General features: G+C 38.7%; 2 long non-coding RNA genes across 2 annotated transcripts in view; both read left to right on the forward strand.

The window, feature by feature from the left end:
• Positions 1-9,596: 9,596 nt before the first annotated feature.
• On the forward strand, positions 9,597-19,626 carry LOC105370313 (uncharacterized). Its single transcript, XR_931641.2, has 3 exons — positions 9,597-9,667; positions 11,423-11,496; positions 19,590-19,626. It is a non-coding gene; the product is annotated as an uncharacterized LOC105370313 (long non-coding RNA).
• A 22-nt stretch (positions 19,627-19,648) lies between these two features.
• The window catches only part of LOC105370314 (uncharacterized), a 29,410-nt gene continuing 27,139 nt past the window's right edge, over positions 19,649-21,919 (forward strand). The window contains exons 1-2 of the long non-coding RNA XR_931642.3: positions 19,649-19,687; positions 21,542-21,639. This is a non-coding gene — a long non-coding RNA (uncharacterized LOC105370314). The remainder of the gene's footprint in view (positions 19,688-21,541; positions 21,640-21,919) is intronic.

Genomic DNA, 21,919 nt, shown 5'->3' on the forward strand with positions numbered 1-21,919 from the left:
GATGAGGTGAAAATTACATGTATTAATATACGTAAGATATTTATTCTAGTACCTAAGACCTAGTAAGCTCTCCACAAAAATTATTCATGATATTATTCTTATTATCATTATTTTATTTCTTTCTGTTCTGACTAGGTATCTGCCAGAACAAAAAAAAGTACCGAGTCAATGTGGGTTATGTGGTTACTTTCTTGGATTTGTGTTTCGACTACATGCTTTAGGATATCTTCCAAGTAGCCCACCCCCTCTCATCTCCTTGCTACCCACTGACAGTCTCTCAGGGAATTCTATGGGACTCTAGGACTCCATAAAGTCCGTCTGAAATCAGTGACCTGCTGCAACAATCCAGACACAACTGAAGGAATTGTCCTTCCTCAATGATTCCTGCTAAGGAAACTCTTTTAAGAGTATTTGCCTGAAAGTGAATGTATACTTCACTAACACATTTTCTGTGTTTAACTACATCTGACCTGGAGCTTCTTTGAGGCTTTCAGCTTCTAGTTTTTAAATCTTGCTTTTTAAGACAATTTTAGAAAGTCATCAGATTCGTTCTAAAATAAAGAAAACTAGTCATATAATCAGAACTTGAAAGTTATGACTATTATTTCAGAAAGTATATTTCTTACTGCTGTTTAGTTCTACAACTAACTACATTTATTACAGGTCCTGTTTTAAGAAATAATTTTCTTTAAAAATTAACTGGAGTAAACATAAATTTCATTAGATTTGAATTTGGTCATAACCTGAACAATAACTACAAAAGCATTAACCTATCCCTTTCATTAAGGTTAATTATTTAAGATTTCTTAAGACTCTGTGTGACATTTCCTGGGTACAATGCTCAAGAAATTCCCTGTGGTTGCTTTAACTATGATCAGGCAAATTCTTACCAAGTAAGGAGTGGTGATTGTTGCATTCTTTTCTCAGATAAAGTTAATGAAGGTAATGTAAACAGAGAGTGGTTTGTTTTCTGCTCATTTGAAAAACATATTACTTATCAAAATGCCACACCTAGGTAAAGAATGAAATTGATGGTACTAAAATGCTTTGAAAATTGTGAAAAGCTGTAGAAATTATGAATTAAAACAAGAATCTCCATCTCTTTCTCCCTTTTCCTCCATGAATTGAAACTGCCATCCAAAATCAATGATTTCCTTAGGAATGCTCACCCATATGAAAGCTCAAGCAAAGGCACATTTCCTTTTTCAAACTTATAGTTATCTAGAAGTATTGAAATATACCTCAGACTTTATTTCTAAAATGGATAGAATATTGTCCATAATAAAAAAAGAAAAGCCTTGCCATGTTATAACTTACTAAAATAAATTTTAACAGAAGTTACTAAGGATTTTAAACAGATGTAAGTTAGTTCTACCATACCCTATGTTTACGAATATGGCCAAAAAAATGTTAGAGAAGGTTTTAAGCAGTAGCAGATAACACAAGTCCATCTGCTTATGTCATCTGCTACTCTTTATGTGACACGGTAAAGATTATAAAAGGAAAATCAAATTCACATAGCATTTATCTAAGAAGATTCTATAATTGAATTCTAAAGGGATTTTTTTGTTTCTTTTCTCTCTTTTTTTCTTTTAACCCTACTTACTAATTAAAACAGTAATCTGATATTTTGAATACGTCCTCCTTTGTTTAAAACAAGGTACTTGTTATTCACTAACCCAATTTGACATGTTCAAATTAGCTTTTTATTTTTATTTTATTAATTTCTTAGCCTAATCTCCCTAGGCGGAAACACACAAGAACACAACTGTTTGAATTAGTCTTCTGTTTTTAGTGATTTTTAAGCTGTGTGTTAATATTCAGTAGTATACACATGATTAGCAGTATAAAGCCAGAGTTCTCACTGCTCTAACATAGATCCTTATCACCTCGTTTTTCATCATTGCAATATCCTCCTATTAGCCTAGTCTACCCCTACAAACTTTTATCTCTCCCCTCCACCCAAAACTTCCTTGTTAGGGGTCATGACCACTAAGAGGAGCACAACATACTTCTCCCTATCCCCACACCAAATCCACCCTCATGGAGGTCTGAGTACACATCAGACTCATTGGGCAACAATACTAGGAGATGCAGTATTAAGCACATCAGGCTGGAGGAGCTTGGAGCTACCTTAGAATGCTTATCACCCATATGGGTAATGAAGTGAGACTGGACCACCTACCTGATAGGAAGGCCAGGGCCTCCCATCTATTGGGAGCCATAGGGTGACTCTAGTGAAAGGAAGTATGAAATAGATACAGTCTTATCAACTTCAGGCTTTTGGGTGTGCTTTTCTTTTGGTTGTTCTTCCTTTTCCTTTGTCATTCTTTCTCCTCCCTTTCCTTTTTCTTGTATTCATTCATCCAAAAAATAGCCACTGCGTGAATACCAGTGCTGTGTCAGGTACAAATATCGGGTGGCGAACAAGATACTCACAGTCCCTTCCCTCATGGAGCATTCATTCCCTGATCAAGGAAAACTGATATTAAACAAATAATTACAACTATGATGGGGGTTTAAAAAGGAAAATAAAAATGTGATAGAAGCAATAATAAGGGCCCTAATATAGTCTGCAGAAAGAAAACACCACTTTGAAGAATTGGCATCTAAGCTAAAATCTGCAGGAAAGGGAATCAGCCATATGATATGAGGGGAAGGGGCACTGAGGAACAGAAGAGGGAATGATGCAAGCAGAGGAAGCTGCTAGAAATCCCATAAGAGGGAGAAAAAGGAAAGAGCGAGAAAGACAGTAAGGTTGATGGAGGCCAGGAACTGAAAATGAATTCAACCTATCAAGAACAATGAGTGAGGAAGGGCCAGTAAGAGGGGGAAGTGTCTGATACAGAGCAGAAAATAACTAACAGGGCAAGATCCTGAAAGAGGGGAAAGGATAGTGTCCAAAGCAAAAATAAAAGTGCAGCTACATCCAAGAAAGAACCACCTCTGCCAGTATGACAGGAGGGAAGGAAGAAAGGAAGATTTGTAGGTTTGGTAGTGGAAGGTGTAAAAGCACCTCTCTTGGGACTTTGTTTAAATGGAATCGGGGTGAGGTCATTTGGTGAGAGTGAAGGGGTGGAGATTTGAAATAACTGTTGTGATGCACACCAACATGAGCCAATTGGGAAATATATTAAGAATGCAAGGAAACAATGAGAGCCCAGGGGAAGTGATGACTGTTAATTTATAATGGTACCAATCTTGGTTATGTAATTTTCTACAGCAAGTCTTATCAGGCAGACTAGTGGCACAGAGTGGGTAGAAGTTAGATTATCCAGGGATGACGACTTGGCAGAACGGTGTGATGAAAAGAAAGAGGCCTGAACAATTGGCAGGAAAGTTGCTGAAATGATCATCAAGATAATTTACAACCAAAACCAAGGAGAGAAAACTAGAAGGGGTGATGACTAAGGACCCAACGTAATTGAATAAGCAGACAATTATTGTTCCTTTGAAGCTCACATTCTACCGGAGGAGCCATAAAAGAAACATAGATAAAATGGCGAAGAGCGTGATGAATACCACAGAGAAAATTAAACCACGGTGAAGGGATACAGAAGGACAGGGTGCCTACTTTCTATTGAGGGATCAGGATCTCTGGGAGACTCCATTTAAGTTAAAATCTGAATGACAAGGAATATTCTGCTTTGAAACATGAAGGGAAAAACAATTTGGAAAGATGACAGAGCAAAAGTGCAGATGCACTAAGTTGAGAATGAGCTTAGAATGGAGAGAAGGCCCATGGCACTACGGGGAGCAAACACGGAGAAGAGTGATTAAGAATGACATGCGGCCAGGCTCGGTGGCTCACGCCTGTAATCCCAGCACTTTGGGAGGCCGAGGCAGGAGATCACTTGAGGTCGGGAGATCGAGAATAGCCTTTCTGACATGGTGAAACCCCATCACTACTAAAAATACAAAAATTGGCCGAACGTGGTGGCGGGTGCCTGTAATCCCAGCTACTCGGGAGTCTGAGGCAGAAGAATCACTTGAACCCAGGAAGCAGAGGTTGCAGTGAGCCGAGACTGCACCATTGCACTCCAGCCTGGGAGACCAGTAAGACTCCATCTCAAAAAAATAAATAAATAAATAAAATAAAATAAACAAGAATGACATCCAAGTGACACAGGCCATATTGTGTACAGCCTAATAGAAAAATACATGGAGTTTGCTCCTTTTTTTTTTTTTTCATGTCAGAAGATTAAAATGGAGGAGTGATCTACTTCGTGCTTTCGAAGTCAATTCTGGCTGCTTTGTGTAGACTGTGAACAGTAGGCCTCAGGGATATCAGGTTGCTGGTAGTCATTCCAGTGATCCAGGGAAGAGAGGAAGGTAGAATAGTCTAAAGAGTGACAATGACAAGGTGAGAGCTGGAATATGCTTTCATGACTTGGAGGTGGGAGATAAGAAAAAGAGAACAAGATAAGCTTGGGACTAAGGCAATGAGGGTCAAGTGAAGTCATTTTCAGAGGCGAAAAGACAAAGATGGAGCAGATTTAGGGGCAGCAATAATAAATTCTGTTCTGGAAATACTAAGTTTGGGTTCTTTGTTAGGTCTCTAAAAGGATATCAGTCATGCAGTAGGATAAACAAGTTGAAATTCTTGTCAAGACTGCAGATAGAAATGTGGAAATAATATAGGCAATGGAAATGTCAGAGGAGGTTGTCAGGAGTCGCCAGAGCTCAACTATTGGAGCATGAGTGGGTCAATGACCTGAAAGTCCAGGTTCCGGATGTTCCATTCACTTACACAGGCTATAGAGGTGGTGTACTCAGGGGGAGAACCAGGCTTTTGGTAAGGCCAAGAAACTACAGAGGCTTAGGAAGGACAAAATTCTTAGAGAGTTCATGAGCAAGTTAGGAAGAAAAAAATGAGAGTTTTCTTGGAAGCAGATTGTAGAAATATGGAGAAGCTTACATTTTAACCAGAGAGGGAAGGGACCTGGAATACATGGAGTGGTGGCTGGAGTTTTAACACTTCCTAAATTCTTGGAGAATTTAACTGTAGCTTGGAAGGCTGTGATAAGTGTATCCTTTTCCTTATGCTCCGTGGCAGTGTTGGCAAACTATATTTGCAGGCCAAATCCTATCCACGGCCTGTTTTTGTAAATAAAGTTTTATTGGAACACAACCACGCTCCTTCATTTACATAATGTCTATGAATGCTTTCACACTATAAGGGCCAAGTTGAATAGTTGTGACAAAGATTGTATGGCCCACAAAACTGGAAATGTTTATTATCTGCTACTTCATAGAAAAAGTTTGCTGATTTCCAATCTATGGATCTGTAAGGTAGGTGCCATGACTACAGAAATCAAGTATGAGCCTCGTGGTTTGAGACACAGAGTGGGTGGCTCCTGTGGTCTTTAAATAAAAGTTTTTGAACCTTTAGAGGAAGATTATGCAAGCTCTCACATAACATAGACATATAACGTGATAACATTGAATAGTTTGAGAGCACTTGTTTTCAGGTAATGCTTGATGTTCCTCAGCACCTGTAGAGGAAGAAAGTATTCAGGTTATTCCTTGGAGCGAGACTCCCCAGCCATTGTTCTCAACAATCATTGCATGGAAGCTCAGTTGCCATGATCGTCAATTCATTCCTCTTGGAGCTTAGTAGAAAATGTTAGCCTTCTATGTCTTGATCAACAAGAAAATCTCACAGCAAATTTCCCTGGCATCCAATGCATTTCAGCTGTTTTAACTCATATACACAAAGTAATTGCCCAAAATCAAAACACCCTGCCCATGTGACTGAGCTGGTATGAGGCTTCCACTCTAATGTGGGAGGATCTAAAAAGCGGAAGTTTAAGTGTAGGTTTAGATTGGGGTCATACACTCAAAAATTACAAACACTGGACAGGACTATAGATTTACAACATGAAACAGATGTTAGACGATAGGGTTGAGCGGGGATTGTGGTGCACCAAAGAATGCTTACCCTATCTAAACAGAGGGATTGCTACTCAAATCTAGTTTTGTGACCATGCAAGAATAAAAATTTGTTCACATAAACTCATTATTCAAGGACGGTCATAAAATTATATTTTAATGTTAAATTTCTGCATTTTTTAAGCACATTCATTGCCAAACAAACCCTATTTTGGATTGCCAATCAAAACCTTTCAACTCTAGCCCCATAACTGCTCATTGTTACCACATTTCTAGAAGAAAGAAGTGAAAGAAGCTCCTTTGCTTGTTCTTGTGCAGAACTGAAATCTGATTCTCAAAAGCAATCTGTTGCACGCATGTGTAGTTATGTTTTTAGCTCACTGGGAAACTACAAAGGGGTTAGGATTGCAAATCCCAGTCCAGAGTTAAAATTCCTTTTCACAGCTTTCTTCCTGGGCTGCTGAACTCCACTAGACATTAGTCCTGCCTCTATACTGATAGTCTGAGAAAGAAAATGCCAGCTGGTGTCCAGCATTCTCAAATCCTTGGAGCTCCACTGCTGCCACATTTTCAAAAGAAATGTAGAGAAAAAAGACCAGCCAAATTCTTCAGCATGGTATTCAAGTTCCTCCATAATCTGACTTCAATAAACCTTTCCAACATATCCTCAGTTCTTCCGTATTCCATTCAATTAGGATGCCTACCATTCCCAAAATATGTTATGCATTATAATTTCTATATCAGCCCCTTTTTACCTATCTGAATCAAGTACTTTATGTCATTTTGTGACCTCTTCCACTGTGTTGTCCATTTCCTCTTCTTTTGTACTTACTGATAATGTTGTTTTTAATTTTTTCCTGAGTAATATTTGATTTCTTCATCTAGCATGTTAGTCTGTGTCCTCCAAGATAATATGTCAAGACAAGATTAAGCAAGTGAGGATTTTTACTGGGGAAAATGTGCCTGCACAGGAAAATAAGGGGCAAGCCAGGGGAGGCTGGAAGAACTATTCACATACAATGCAAGTCTGATCCCGAAGGAAGAAGAGTGGGAAGGAAGCTTGGGTGGAATCATCTTAGACTGTGATGCAGTCAGAGGAAGGTCCAGTAATATTCATGGAGAGTCCGTAATCCAAATTGGGCTATCTTAGGAGTCTCATGTTTTCTGGGAATAAGCTGTTTTAGTATCTCAACTGTACTCAGTTATCGGCTGAGAACAGTCACTAGGAAGTGTAGAGAATTTAAGTGTAGCTTGGAAGGCTGTGATAAGTGTATCATTTTCCTTATGCACAGTGCAAATGTGGCAATGATGGCCTTCAAAGCACAACAGCAGAGGTCCTTGGTCAGTAATATGGTTTGGCTTTGTGTCCCCACCCAAATCTTACCTCAAGTTGTAATCCCCATAATCCCCATGTGTCAAGGGTGGGACTAGATGGAGATAATAGGATCATGGAGGCAGTTTCCTCCATGCTGTTCTCGTGATAGTGAGTTCTCATGAGACCTAATGGTTTTATAAGCGTCTGGCATTTCCCCTGTTTGCATTCACTCCTTCCTGCCGCCCTGCGAAGAAGAAGCCTGCTTTTCCTTTGCTTTCCACCATGATTGTAAGTTTCCTGAGGCCTCCCCTGGAATGTGGAACTGTGAGTCAATTAAACATCTTTCCTTTATATATTACCTAGTCTCGGGTATTTCTTCGTAGCAGTGAGAGAATGGACTAACACAGTCAGTCATACTCAATACCCCCAGAGTTGGGGAACTGAGAGGTACGTTCTCATAACTGCCATTAAGGAGGAATAACCTCCTTATAGATGGAAATCGTGTCTAATATTCTTTTTTTCTTCCATAGCAAACTGCAAAGTGCCACATTCAAGGACATACATACATAAATTCATACATACACAGCTACAAATAAATAGATCACAAGGTAATAAATAAGCATTTAGTTTTACTTTCAACTTGCTCTTTTTTTTTAATATGCTCTTTTTTAAAGAATAGAGTTCTACAAGTGTGGCTATGTTGCCTCTACTAAGAAAACTACTTTACTCATCTTATTTCACTTCATTTTCCTAAATTCCTGCATTTCTTTATTTGTATTTGAGAAATCCATAAACAAAACACATAAATTACCACTATAGGGCCAAAAAGCTGCCTTAATGGCTTGAAACAATAATTTCATATCTCTAACATGCAATGGACCATTATATACTCTCAAGGAGTCATAGAAACAAAAAGGAGACTAGAGTTTATCTGAGATATTTCACTAAAGTACACACCATCGTTTGAACTTGCATAATATTGTAAGTGTTCCTTATTTTTGTATATTTTGTGTCCCTTACTTTTTGCTTAATCTACATGTAGAGGTCATGACAGTATCACTTAGATTCTTACTGCATACTTCCCACACTTTCATTAAACTAATTATCTCAAAATATAATTAGCTAATTACTGAGAAAGGTAGATAATGATAGTGAGTGGAATGTAAGATAAGCATTAATGAACAACAGGATCCAAATATTCCAGTCAGGGAGAAGACATTCAGAGTTGGCAGAGAGACAAGGAATATTCAATAACCTTTTGATCAGTTGCACTTGAATCAGAACTAACAATGCTACCCTGTGTTACTGCAACTGGGTAGGAATCCAAGTCCTCAATTTTTTAAATCCTAACAAAGCTCCTTTACATTTCAGTGATACTGAATGATGTACTAAATTATCCTAGTGCAGACCGGTTGCAATTTGTCAACTGGACTTTTCAGTCTTTCTCATTTATATTTATTTATTTATTTATTTATTTTGCTTTTTTAGAAAGTATTATGTGAAAAAGATTTGTTGTCATTTGTAGCCAGTGTCAAAGCAACATAATTTATTATAATGAAGTTCAACATGTTTCTGAAGGGCCAACATTCCAAACTTTAAATTGTTCACAAGATGGTAAGGGCATATTTGTTTAAAATGAAAAAGATCAGGTTGAAAATCGATTTTTAATTAACTGGATCTGGATCAGAGAACTTTGCAAATGAAAATACAGTAGGGCATCTAATCAGATAGGTTATTTACCCAGAATAATTGAATCCACGCTACAGCAAAGTCCTTAAAATGTGGCTTTGCTGCAATATATTTTAGTTCTCTGAGTGTGTTCAACTGTCTACAGCATGGAACTAATGTAACATGTAGCATGGATAAAATCCCTGCATGAATCATCAGTCTCATCTGGAGAAAAGCCATGCCAAGAGCAAGACCAGCCATGACATCTCACTTTTCTGTAATAATTGGATTGGTATTTGGAGTAGCATAACCTCAAAACTCTCCACACAATGTGTTTATCATACAACTTTGGAGCAATTCACTTGCCTAAATTCCCCATTAGAGTGTGGGCTCCTTTTGAGGAGAGATTTATCCCCTGACTAATACCTAATAGGCCCTCAGTAAATGTTCATGATTTAATCTGTAAACAGTGCAGAACACTAAGACCAATTTAGTTCAATATATTATTTATTTATGCTGTACAAGGCATAGAGCTGGCGACAAATAAAAGGGAAACCATGGATATCGTCTGGGAATGTATAATCTTCTTGGAAAATAAGACAGGCACCCATGAAACATTTACAACCAAATAAGGTGGTTTGTAAACTTTATGTTTTAATGAGTGATACAAACAGTGAATGCTGGCAGAATTCAGAGAAAGAAGAAATCTGTGTTGGTAGAGTGACAGGCAAGCATAAACACCATCATTAGAAAGGCAAAGGAGAAAAGAGGGCATCCACTGGGTGGAATAAGGTAAGTCTGACACATTCACAGGACAGATGGGAAATGGGGCTGCCTGGAGTGGATGATTCACAATGAGGAGTAAAGACAGCAAAGGTGGAGGGGTAAGGCTAGAAATAAATGAGAAAAGCCTTGAAGCCATTGTGAGAAGTATGAATAGTGTAATGGAGAAAAACACTGAGCTAAATCAGGAGATCTTGTTCTAGGCCTTCCTTTGGCCCTGTTTGCTGCTCTAACAAGTGCACTGCATTGACTTCAGTTTCCTCATACATGAATCGAGACAGACCAAAAGACTCAAAGTTCTAGGCAAGATAGAGTCCTGGGCAGAGAAGGTACGAGCAAGGAAATGCCACGAGGAGTGAAAGGTTTGGGTAAGACCAGTCTGATGCACAGAAATGGCCTGGGTAATGGCCAAGGAAGTGTTTGCAACAGCAAACCAATTACCAGAAGACAAAGTTTTAATATAAGGAGCAAGTAGAAGAAATGGAAATGTAAGAAATATTTGAAGGCATCATTAATCAGACTCAATGACTTGTAGAAGGACTGACTTAAAAATAATGGCATTGCTCTGGCGCGGTGGCTCACGCCTGTAATCCCAGCACTCTGGGAGGCTCAGGCGGGTGGATTACGAGGTTAGGAGATTGAGACCATCCTGGCTAACACAGCGAAACCCCGTCTCTACTAAAAAAAAAAAATAGCCAGGCGTGGTGGCGGGTGTCTGTAGTCCCAGCTACTCAGGAGGCTGAGGCAGTAGAATGGCGTGAACCCGGGAGGCCGAGCTTGCAGTGAGCCGAGATCGCGCCACTGCACTCCAGCCTGGGCAACAGAGCAAGACTCCATCTCAAAAACAAGAACAACAGCAACAAAAATAATGGCATTGCTTTGAACCTAGGTGACTAAATATTAGAGTCTAATTAGAAAAAAATATATATTAAGGGCAAAGCCAGTGTGAAATGCAACCACACAAGTTTGCTTTGGCTCTATCCACCCTAAATACCTTCCCTCCACTGTAAGAACCACCTTTTAGTTTCAGCCTTAGGTTCCACAGCAAGAACCTCTGGAGTGTGAACTTGCTGAGGATCCTTAATAGCCACTCCTATTTCCCCATGGCTCATGTGTGGGTTTCCAACACACCACCTCCTCCTGTGTTCCTCACATCTGGGCTTTCTTCCAGATCTGTTCAGCTTCCCATACCAGTTGCTCTTTTGAGGCTTTTCTGCTATTTTAGATCTCCATTCTCAAGTGAATGAAATCTGACTGAAAATGAATGCTTTCTCAAGAAAATTACTATGGTTTTGTTGCAGGATGGGCAAGCCCAAGTTGGGGCTTAGCCAGGGAGGGTTTTTGGCTTTACCCAGGAACGAATTCAAGGGTAAGCCAGTGGTGTTAGAGAGCACTTTTTCACTGAATGGTACTGCCCCTTGTAGAGCAGGGCTAACTCGGAGGCAGTGCGCCCAGAGTTGGCCACATATGGGCTCTTGGTAACCGCATTTATAGTCACGTAAATCCACTTCCAATTGCATGCAAATTAAGGGGTAGGTTGATACAAATTGAGGAGTGGGTTATTTAGAACTTTCTAGAAATGGGGTGGTAATGCCAAGGTTGTTGCCATGAAAAGGGGTGGTAACTCCAGGTCATTGCCATGACACTTGTAAACTGTCATGGTGCTGATAGGAGTGTCTTATGCTAATGAGCAATGAGCACCTTGGGATCTCTTTTTTCATCATCTGCTGGTTCCTGACAGTTTCTTCATTTCATCCTGTCTAGACCAGATCCTGTTTTGGTCAGCAGAATTCTGACCAGAAAACAAGTGCTGCTGGTCTCCTACCTCCATTTGATAAGTAAGTAGGAATACTGGGTACTTGATCATCACAACAATCTTTGAGATATTGTATTATGCTTCTCTTGCTGCGTGGTAAATTACCACAATTGTAGTGACTTGAAGCCATGGCCATTTATTAGCTCACAGTTCTGTGGGTCAGAAGTCTGTGACTGAGTTCTCTATTCAGGTTCTTACAAGACTGAAATTGAGGTGTTGGCCAAATGGAGTTGTTATCTGGAAGCTTTGGGGAAAATTCCACTTCTAAGCTATTCAGGATAGTGGAAGAATTCAGCTACTTGTGGCGGTGGGATTGATGTCCACGTTTCCTTGATGGTTGTCAGCCGAGGGTTTTCTAGCTCCTAGAGGCCACCCAGGGCCATTGTGTGGTCCTTGAGGCCACATACATTTTTGTCAATCGGGCTGGTATGCGGTGGTGTGATCATAGTTCACTGCTGCCTTGCATTCCTGGGCTCAAGTGATCCTCCTGCCTCAGCCTCACAAGTAGCTGGGGCCACAGGCGTGTGCCACTGCACCCAGCTAATTTTTAATTTTTTTTGTAGAGACAGGATCTTGCCATGTTGTCCAGGCTGGTCTCAAACTCCTGGGCTCAAGCAATCCTCCTACTCAGCCTCCTGAAGTACTAGGATTATAGGTGTGAGCCACCGCACCTGGCCTATCTTCCTTTTTAAAGGTCAACTGTACCATAGAACATAATATAATTACAGACCGAAATCTTCGTATTCACAAATCCAGGGGCTATACAGGCTACATGCACCAGAGGGCAGAGAACATTGAGGGCCATCTCAGAATTTTGCCTAGCACCGGCATATGATGGAGGAGACCCAAAGCTGTCCTAGACATTTTCAGATATTTCATTCAAAGGCTGATATTTCCATGATGTTTATTAATGAGTAATTTAATTTAGTATTTAAGAGCATGAGATCTGGGGTCTGCCTCCCCAGAGGCATTTTGCCTCTGTCACTCATCCGATATGTGGTCCTAATCAAGATCCTTATAGCCTTCCCAAATTTGGTTTTTCACATCATCAAGATATGGAGATAAATAATACTTGGTTTATATATATGTTATAAAGATGAAATGAAATAATTCATGTAAAGCTTTAACACAAATTCCTGGTTCTCAGATGGTCGACTGGCTCATAAATGGTGGCCTTTTCTTTTTCTCTTTTTCTAAATGAGACTCGGAGATATTACTTTTTCCAAAACTGCACAACCACTAAGCGGAGGACCTGAGAATCAATTCCTAAATCTCTCTGGCTTCAGAACCTACCCTTAGGCTGCCAGGCTACTCAAGGTTTCTTCATAGCCTCCTGCAATAACTCAGAAACATTACATCTTTATTGATTCATCAATTAACATAGAAGGCATCAAAAACAGCTTTGATGTACTCCCAGCTTCAAATATACCAGTTTTTCTGCATCTGACTTTTATACCCTTACAGCTCCTCCTTGCACATGGGGTGAACTATCTAAGGCAACCACTTCACCTGTACGGGTTCATAGCTCTTCTCACCAAATAAAGGAGCACTCCTGTAATTATCCCCTCTTTTCTGCACCTTTAATCATTCCCACACTTGAGGATCACTTCCTTTAGCATACACACACACTGATATAGCTCCTACCTTCAAAGCAAAAGCCTCCCTCTCCCTGTGTCTGCTTCAGAAAGTTAAAACCTCTACTTCTTATCTGTCTCAATAAACAGCAGCTCCATTTTTCCAGTTGCCTTCACCAAAAACCTGGAGTTATCTTTAATGCCTCCCTTTCCCTCATACTCCACATTTATCAGCAAATTCTGACAGCTCCAACTCAAATATAAACCAAATCTGGCTATGCCCACTACCGCCATCACCACCACCTCAGTACAAGGACCTCCCATAGCCAGTGAAATCCAAAGTTATTGTCAGGTTTTACAAGGTTCTTCATTATCTGACACCAGGTTTCCTCTCCAGCCATATCTCCAACCACACTCTGCTGCTCTTGTTCATGCACTCCAGCCTCACGCCTGTTCCTGGAAAACACCAAGCAAACTTCTGCTTCCATGCCCTTCACATTAACTGCCCTCTGAAGGAGATGTCCTTCCACAAACACACACAGATACCCTTCCCCTCATCCACTTCATTCAGATTCTGCCTCAATTGTATCTCCTTGGAAAGGCCTTCATCACTTTTATTTATTTATTCATTTATTTATTTTTGGTAGGATCTCACGCCGTCACCCAGGCTGGAGTGCAATAGCACAATCTTAGCTCACAGCACCCTCCAACTCCTGGGCTCAAGTGATCCTTCCACTTCAACCTCCAGAGTAGCTGGGATTATAGGAATGTGCTACCATACCTGGCTAATTTTTTTTTTTTTTAATGTTTCGTAGAGATGAGGTCTTGCTGTGTTGCCCAGCCTGGTCTCAAACTCCTGAGCTGAGAAGATCCTTTTGCCTCAGCCTCCCAAAGTGCTGATATTACAGGCATGAGCCACCCTGCCTGGCCCCCTCTTTCTTTTCTCCTTCTTTCTTATTACCAAGTATTACTAATGTCCCTGCATATTTTTAATTCAATGTGCTATAATTAAGTACCATCATCTTTTATTTCAAATTATCATGAGCTGGTCTCAAACTCCTGGGTTCAGGCAATCCTCCCGCCTCAGCCTCCCAAAGTGCTGGAACGACAGGCATGAGCCGCCACACCTGGCCTCCATCATTCTTTATCACATGTACTTAACTAAGTTATATATGTTACATACTTATTTGTTTATTAATATTTTTAGCTTTTTTTAATACAAATTATTTTGTATTCACTTTCTCACTTATGTATTTATTTGTTGACTTGCCTGTCTTTGCCCCACTAAAATGGAAGCTCCATGAGAGGCAGGGGAAGTTTCTGCCTTGCTCAATGCTCTATCGTTTGTGTCCAGAATACACAAGTGCTTGGCACTTCATAAATATCCCAACATATTTGTAAAGTAAACAATGTAAAGGTTTTCCTTTCATCCTGAAATCATTCCGTCTGCCCTCATCCACAGGTGTGGATTAAGATGCAGCAGGCTTTGTGCTAGCTCCTGGGCTTGTAAGAGTAAATAAAATACACATGGTTCCTGTTCTTTTGAAATTTAAGACTAGTAAAAGACATAGACGAAGAAATAAGCAATGAAAGTCTAATTTTGTGCTATAATAGGGGAAGGGTGGTATGACTTAGGAACACACAAACGTGGCATCTCTCTGAAGACGGAAGAATTGTTCCTGCAAGAATTGGCAGATAAGTTGAGATCTGAAGGAAGAGTAAAGGTTGAGGGAATGGTATTGGTAGGGGTGATGATAGAGATTATTTTTCTATTTGTACTTAGAGAGTACAAAAATTCAAACAAACTGGTTTTGAAGGTACTCAAATTTTACCCAAAAACTAATCCATAAATCATTGATCTGACGAAGAAAAGTATATGTAATTTTACTTGAAACCTTCATTTTATACTTCAATAAAAGATACTCTGATGTTTTGGGGGTTTTTGAAGGTCAACTTACAAATTAGCTTTTATTTTTACTTTGAATAGGATAATGTTGTATGCTACTAAATCCATTTAATTCAATAGGAAGTTACTAAACACGTAGCATGTGGATAAAGGTAGTCAGGATGCCATCTCCCCAGGAATGTATAATTTTGTAGAGATGGTAAGGCCTATTTGCAGATAATTAAAATACAAAACAATAAATGAATAGATGTACTTTAGGAGTGGTTCAAAATGCTGTGAAAGTGAAGAAGCCCAAGATAAGAGATTATTGATTGCCTCCATTGAGTTTACCACATATGCAAATAGAGAAAAATCTCATTACTAAAGGCTTCAGGAAGTTAAAAGAATTTTTTAAATCCCTAGAAGTCACTGGAGACTCAAGGCAAAATATATTCTTCAGAGGAGAGGTCAGGAATGTAAAAAAGAGAATTAAGAAAAAGATGATACAAGTAGCTTTTTCTCTTTCTACTGAGACCAAAGTTGGAATTTCAATAATGAGTTAAAAAAGCAAAAGTGTTATCTTGTTTATATTTTAAGCTAAAGTGAAAAGTAGTTCATTAATCTTCACCTATAACTATCAAAGATAAAGTGTTAGGTTATATGGACATTCTCATGTAAGAACCCCAGTGCTGGCTCTGTTGTTTATATACAATTTTCCAACAAAATGTACACAAAATAATCCAAAAGCATAAGTGAACAACTTTTATGATATATTTTTTACTGTTGACTATAATGTTTTAAGAACTCAATTCCCCTATTATCTTTCCTTATCCCACAGTAATGTATAAATTAGAAACCTAACCATACTTAGTAAAATGAGACTTTCAGTGTATGGAATATAATTCCTCAGATTTTTAGCAGGACAGTTTTCTTCATTTCCAAGAAGAGTTATATGAAAATTGTAATATCAGATTTTGGGTTGATTCCTTATAACATAGTGCCATCTAGAGATTAAAGCTGATGTTGCTACAAGCTACATTAAACACAACCAGCTTCTAAAGTATAACATTATATTTTATAGCTAATGAGTATAGCAGAGTAGGTTAAGTTTTCATTAAAGTATATCTACATGGAGTATATTTTAAATAAATTAATGACTACTTACACAAATGGATTTGCATTGGCATCTGATATTTGCATTGTGTGGCTTCTCATGTGAGCAGGTGGTATGCCTGTGCTGATACATCTAGCAGTTTAACTGAGGAAAGTTATATCGAAGTACAAGAATATTAATTCGATCAATTTTTGTAAAAATGCGTAATTGAACTTCTACAAAGAAGAAAGATAGTTTTCATTATAAATATGAAATATTCATTAACCACCCACTATGGGTAAATAATGCATTGTAGCTACTAGGTGTATTTGTTTCCTGAGGTTGTCATAACAAATTACTGAAAACCTGGTGGCTTAAAATAGCAGAAATTTACTCTCTCACAGTTCTGAAGGCAAGAAGTTCAAAAGCAAAGTTTTGGCAGACTGCAGTCTCTCTGGAGGCTCTGGGGGAGAATCCTCCTTCCTTGTTTCTTGCAGCTTCTGGTGGCTTCTGGCAATCTTTGTCTTCCTTGGCTTGTAGCCACATCATTTCCATCTCCGTCTCTCTTTTCTCCTCACCTCTGTGTTGGGCTGTGGCTGCATGGCTGCAGTCTCTGCTTCTATCTTCACATTTCCTCCTCTCTCTGTGTGTGTCTCTCCTGTCTATGCATCTCCTCTTTGTATGTCTTACAAGGATCATTTATTGTCCTTCTATTTATTGTCTATCATTCAATTTGGTGCCTGTCTAAATAATCCAGGATGATATCTTCATTTTTAAGACCCTTAACTTAATTACATCTACAAAGACCCTTTCTCAAAATATGGTAACATTCACATGTTCCAGGGATTTAATGTGGACATATCTTTTGTGGAGGAGGGCCACCATTCAACCCACTACACCATGTTTTTTGAGACAGGGTCTCACTTTGTCACCCAGGCTGGATGGAGTGCAGTGGTAGAAACATGCCTCACTGCAGCCTTGACCTCCCAGGCTCAATCAATCCCCCGACCTCAGCCTCCTGAGTAGCTGGGACTACATGCCACCATGCCTAGCTAATGTTTTCAGTTTTTGTAGAGATGGGGTCTCCTTATGTTGCCCAGGCAGGTCTCGGACTCTAGGGCTCAACCAATCTTCCTGCTTTGGTCTCCCAAAGTGCTGGGATTACAGGCGTGAACCACTGCACCCAGCCTACACTATGTTTTTAAAAAGAAAGAAAAATCTATAGAAAAATAAATGGTTTCTACTTCAATAAGTTTACAGCATAATTGGAAATAAGGCTTATATATAGATAACAACTACCTAGATCAGGGTTTCTTAACTGGCACTATTGATTGACACTTGGGGCCCGATAATTCTTTGTTGTGGGGTGCTGTCCCCATGTTTTTGAACGTTTTGCAGTATCCTTGGCCTCTATTCATTACATGCCAATAGCACACCCCTTCTCAGTTCTGACTATTAAAAATGTCTCCAGAAATTGCTAAACATCTCCTGGGGAGCAAAGTCCACCTCAGTTAAGAACAAGTGATCTAGATTATCATAAGTAAATGTAATAAGATAAAAGTTCAGAGGAGGAAGCAATCAAAATGGACTGGGATAGTTAAAGAAGGTTTCATGGAAAAAAATGAGAAATGAACTAGTTACTAAATGAAAAAATAGCACTTGAAATTGGGGAGGGGGTAATGGAAAGCATTACCAGCCTCTAAGATCCTCTTGCTGAGAAGCATTGTGAGCTTGTCAAGACCAATAATCATACGCCTTAACTTTATGCATCAAGTTCCCAGCACCAGCCCCTGGCACAGAGTAACTCTTAAAAATGTCTTCTGAGTGAGCCAATCAATGATGTTACTGTATTAACCCGTTTTCACACTGCTATACAGAAATACCCAAGACTGGGTAATTTATAAAGAAAAGTGGTTTAATTGACTCACAGTTCCACATTTCTGGGGAGGTCTTAGGAAACTTACAGTCATGGCAGAAGGGGAAGCAGGCACATGTTACATGGCAGCAGGTGAGAAAGAAGAGAGAGCAAAAAGAGGGAAGAGCCCCACACTTATCAAGCAACCAGATCTCCTGAGACTTGCTCACTATCACTAGAACAGCTTGGGAGAAATTGTCCCCCAAATCCAACCACCTCCCTCCCTTGACCTGTGGGAATTACAATTCAAGATGCGATTTGGGTGGGGATACAGAGCCAAACCGTATGTTAGATTAGTAGATTGGAGTCTGAGTGTGGAAAATCTTAAAGAAAATCGAAAGGAATCTGAAAGCTATTCTATTAATTATGAGGAAATCTGGATGGATTTTGAGTAGAAAGATGAACTGAATAAAGCAAGCAGTGGCGTACAGAAAATATTGGAGAGGCCAGAAACAAGATCAAGAAAGATCAGCTGAGACATTATTAAAATCGTCTTGCTGTGAAGCAATGAGTTCTAGTACCAAGATGATAACAGTGGGAATTAAAATGAGGTATCAATGACAAGGAAAAATAACTATGAGTTTCTCATTACTGGTTTTGGAGAAGATGAGAAAAAGGCATAAAGGAAACCTCTTAAGTCAGAATGACAACAAGGATAGTTTGTTAGTTTGAGAAAATAAGGAAGTCCAGAGAGAAAGAAAAATCTTGAGCATGAGGTGAGGGTACACATACACGTCACTGAGATGCAGGACAGATTATTTTTAGGTTAATTTTAGGGTCATCTTTCAACAAAAGTGATAGTAGGTGAGAAAGGAACTAAAATGTAAGATAATTTGTTATCAAATTTAGGAATTACTGGCTAGATATTATTCCCATGAAAATTCATAAGACCCTTTGGATCACTAAAAGAGGTCATTTTGCAAAGATTTCTGAAGCCATTAGTTTGAATTCAAAGTCATTGATTTTATTTCTATTCAACAACTTTCATCTTAGACGCAAAGGGGTGGGGGGCAGTTCCAGATTACTGCATTATTTATACTCTGACAAGCCAGACACTCTTTCTTCTCGGTGCAATGATTTTCACGACAAAATGAACTCCAAATCACCAGTTATTTTAACATGGCAAACAAGTTTGAGAAAAAAGTTTATTGTAAAAACAAAACGAAACAAAGAAACGAGAGAGACTCTAATTTTCAAAATTGATTAAACTAGATTTTTCTCATTGTTGCCATAGTTTATGCAAACTGATTATTAATGACTTGAAAAAATAACTGTAAAATTATTTTAGTTAATTTTTCCTTCTTTCTCTTCATTTTCTATTTGGAAATATTTAAGTTGTTGCCCTTCAGAAGCATTTTAATATTGTAAGTTACAAGTTACCATATATTTTTTGAGATTGCAACGTTGTATACTTAATTAAGAATACAATTTCATTTCAAAAACTAATCACTAAGCTAGGAATGAGTAAATGAAGAACAGAGGCAACTCAATCTCCAATATGTCTTAAAGGAAATGGGAATATTTTTTACTGTAAAGATGATTACCTAATTATCTTACTAACTGTGTAGGAGCGGAGTTTTTTGTTTGTTTATTTTGTTGGTTTTTTGTTTGTTTGGTTTTTGAGATGGAGTCTTTCTCTGTCACCCAGGCTGGAGTGCAATGGCATAGTCATGTCTCACTGCAACCTTGCTCTCCCAGGTTCAAGAGATTCTTCCACCTCAGCCTCCCAAGTAGCTGGGACTACAGGTACGTGCCACCACGCCCCGCTGATTTTTGTATTTTAGTAGAGATGGGGGTTTCACCATGTTGGCCAGGCTGGTCTTAAAGTCCTGATCTCAAGTGATCTGCCTGCCTTGGCCTCCCAAAGTGCTAGGATTACAAATGTGAGCCACTGAGCCGTTTTTAAATCATAACTTGGAGACCCTTTTATAACAGTTTGATAGGTAAAGGCAATCCTCTATCTAGCCTACACATTAATTTTACATAAATTAGTGAGGAGAATGCCTGCACCTTTAAGACTTTTGGATGACTAATTTGATGAATAATGTTTCCTAAATTTGTGAAGTACACAGCCTGCACAAATTGTATGCAGTGGCCATAGGCACATCGCTGAAATTCACACAGAGGTAATTGTGATGGTTAATGTTATGTACTGATTCGACTGGGCTACAGGGTGCCCAGATATTTGATTAAAAACCCCCATGTTTCAGGGATAAGGTTAACATTTGAATCAGTAGACTGGGTAAGACAGATTGTCCTCTCCAGTGTGGATGGGCTCCTCCAATCCACCAAAGGCCTGGATGGAAGAAAAGGCTGAGCAGGAAAGAACTCACTCTCCCTGCCTGACAGTCTTCGAGCTGGGACATCAGAGATCACTTGACTTTGGACTCAGACTGGAACTTTCACTGTCAACTCTCCTAGTTCTTAGGCCTTTGGATTGCAGATCTTGGGATAAATCAGCCTCCACAACTGCATGAACAAGTACCTAATAATAAATAAATTAATAACGCATTGATTCTGTTTCTCTGAAGAACCCTGATTAACATGCTAATATATTAGATCATGCTTTTAAAAAAACACATTTTAGAAAATGTGGCATTGAGTCCATGCATTTATAAACCATAATATAATGGGGATTTTCTATGTAATCAAATATTATTAATATCTAGATGAGAAGGGAAATTCTAAAGAAATTAGTAAAGTTTATGTGGAAAGGTTTGTATCAATTAAGAAACACAAAAATTGGATTCTGATTATTAGTCTTTCTAATTGTCAAAGTACAGTATGATATAGAAGCATGAACTTTCAATCTTATTATCTTCAAAAATTGAGAGCATTATATTGAAGAAGTTTAAAAAATCTTGTCTAGTATAGACTTAAAATCTCAGACACATAATGCAGACACAGGTGTATCTAAAAACAACGTGTATCACTGTGTATTTAAATTTTAATTTTCTTTTAAATTTTTCATTAGTTATTAAAATTTTCAACCAAATTACTGAGTTCTAACAATTTTGCCTTTTGTGTGACAATATCTAAGAGACTGATTTTCTTTTCCTTTCTTAATATAATAATTTTAATTAAAGTAAGCACTATAAGGGAGCCTGATTTCTTAAGGTCAGTGTGAAACAGCCACAACAATAAACAAACAGATATTGTGGCTACTTAGAGATTTTATGATTTTCCCTGTTTTAAAAAAATTGTGCAGGGAATTTGCAAGGCCCCTAAATACTTCTGAATATGTCATGGATTTCAAGAGTAAAGCAAGTTTCCGGAAACTTACTTTGCTTGTGGCAGAAGAAATCAGAATTAATTCCCCCACATCATATAGTCCCAAGGAGAATTGCATTCCCTTGGCTACATGAATTAGTATTTCCTAAGTGTGGATCACAGAACTGAGCCCAAGGTAATTTACACCTAATGTATGTTGAATATTAACATAGATACATCTTTTAAGTGATTTTAAGGTTCTCGCATGTAATAAAAATGTAAAATGATCAATCGTAATTTTATGTATGCCTTAAAACATTTTTTGTTTGTTTTGGGTTTTCATTTTTGGCTTTTGTGGTTTTTGTTTTGTTTTTATTATTTTGTCCTTAGGTAGACATTGTTGAAGGATACCTCAAAGTACCCAGAAGGACAGGAGGAATTGCAGAACCTCAGGCTGGAGGGTATCCCTCAAAACGAGCAAGACACAGGTGAGCCAGAAGGTGGAACTGGATAAAACTTATAAATAAGATCTGTGGGTTTCTCAGAGGTTGAAATTTAATAAAAGATAGTATAATAGAGCAGTTCAGAATACAAACTTAGAAGGGAATGCTTTTACACTGTTGGTGGGAAGGAACCTTGGTACAACCTTTATTGAAAACAGTATGGGATTTCTCAAAGAACTGAAAATAGAACTACTATCCCACCCAGCAATCCCACTACAGGATAGCTACCCAAAGGGAAAAAATATCATTATATCAAAAAAAATCT

Source organism: Homo sapiens, chromosome 13, assembly GCF_000001405.40.
Source record: "Homo sapiens chromosome 13, GRCh38.p14 Primary Assembly".
Lineage (NCBI taxonomy): Eukaryota > Metazoa > Chordata > Mammalia > Primates > Hominidae > Homo > Homo sapiens.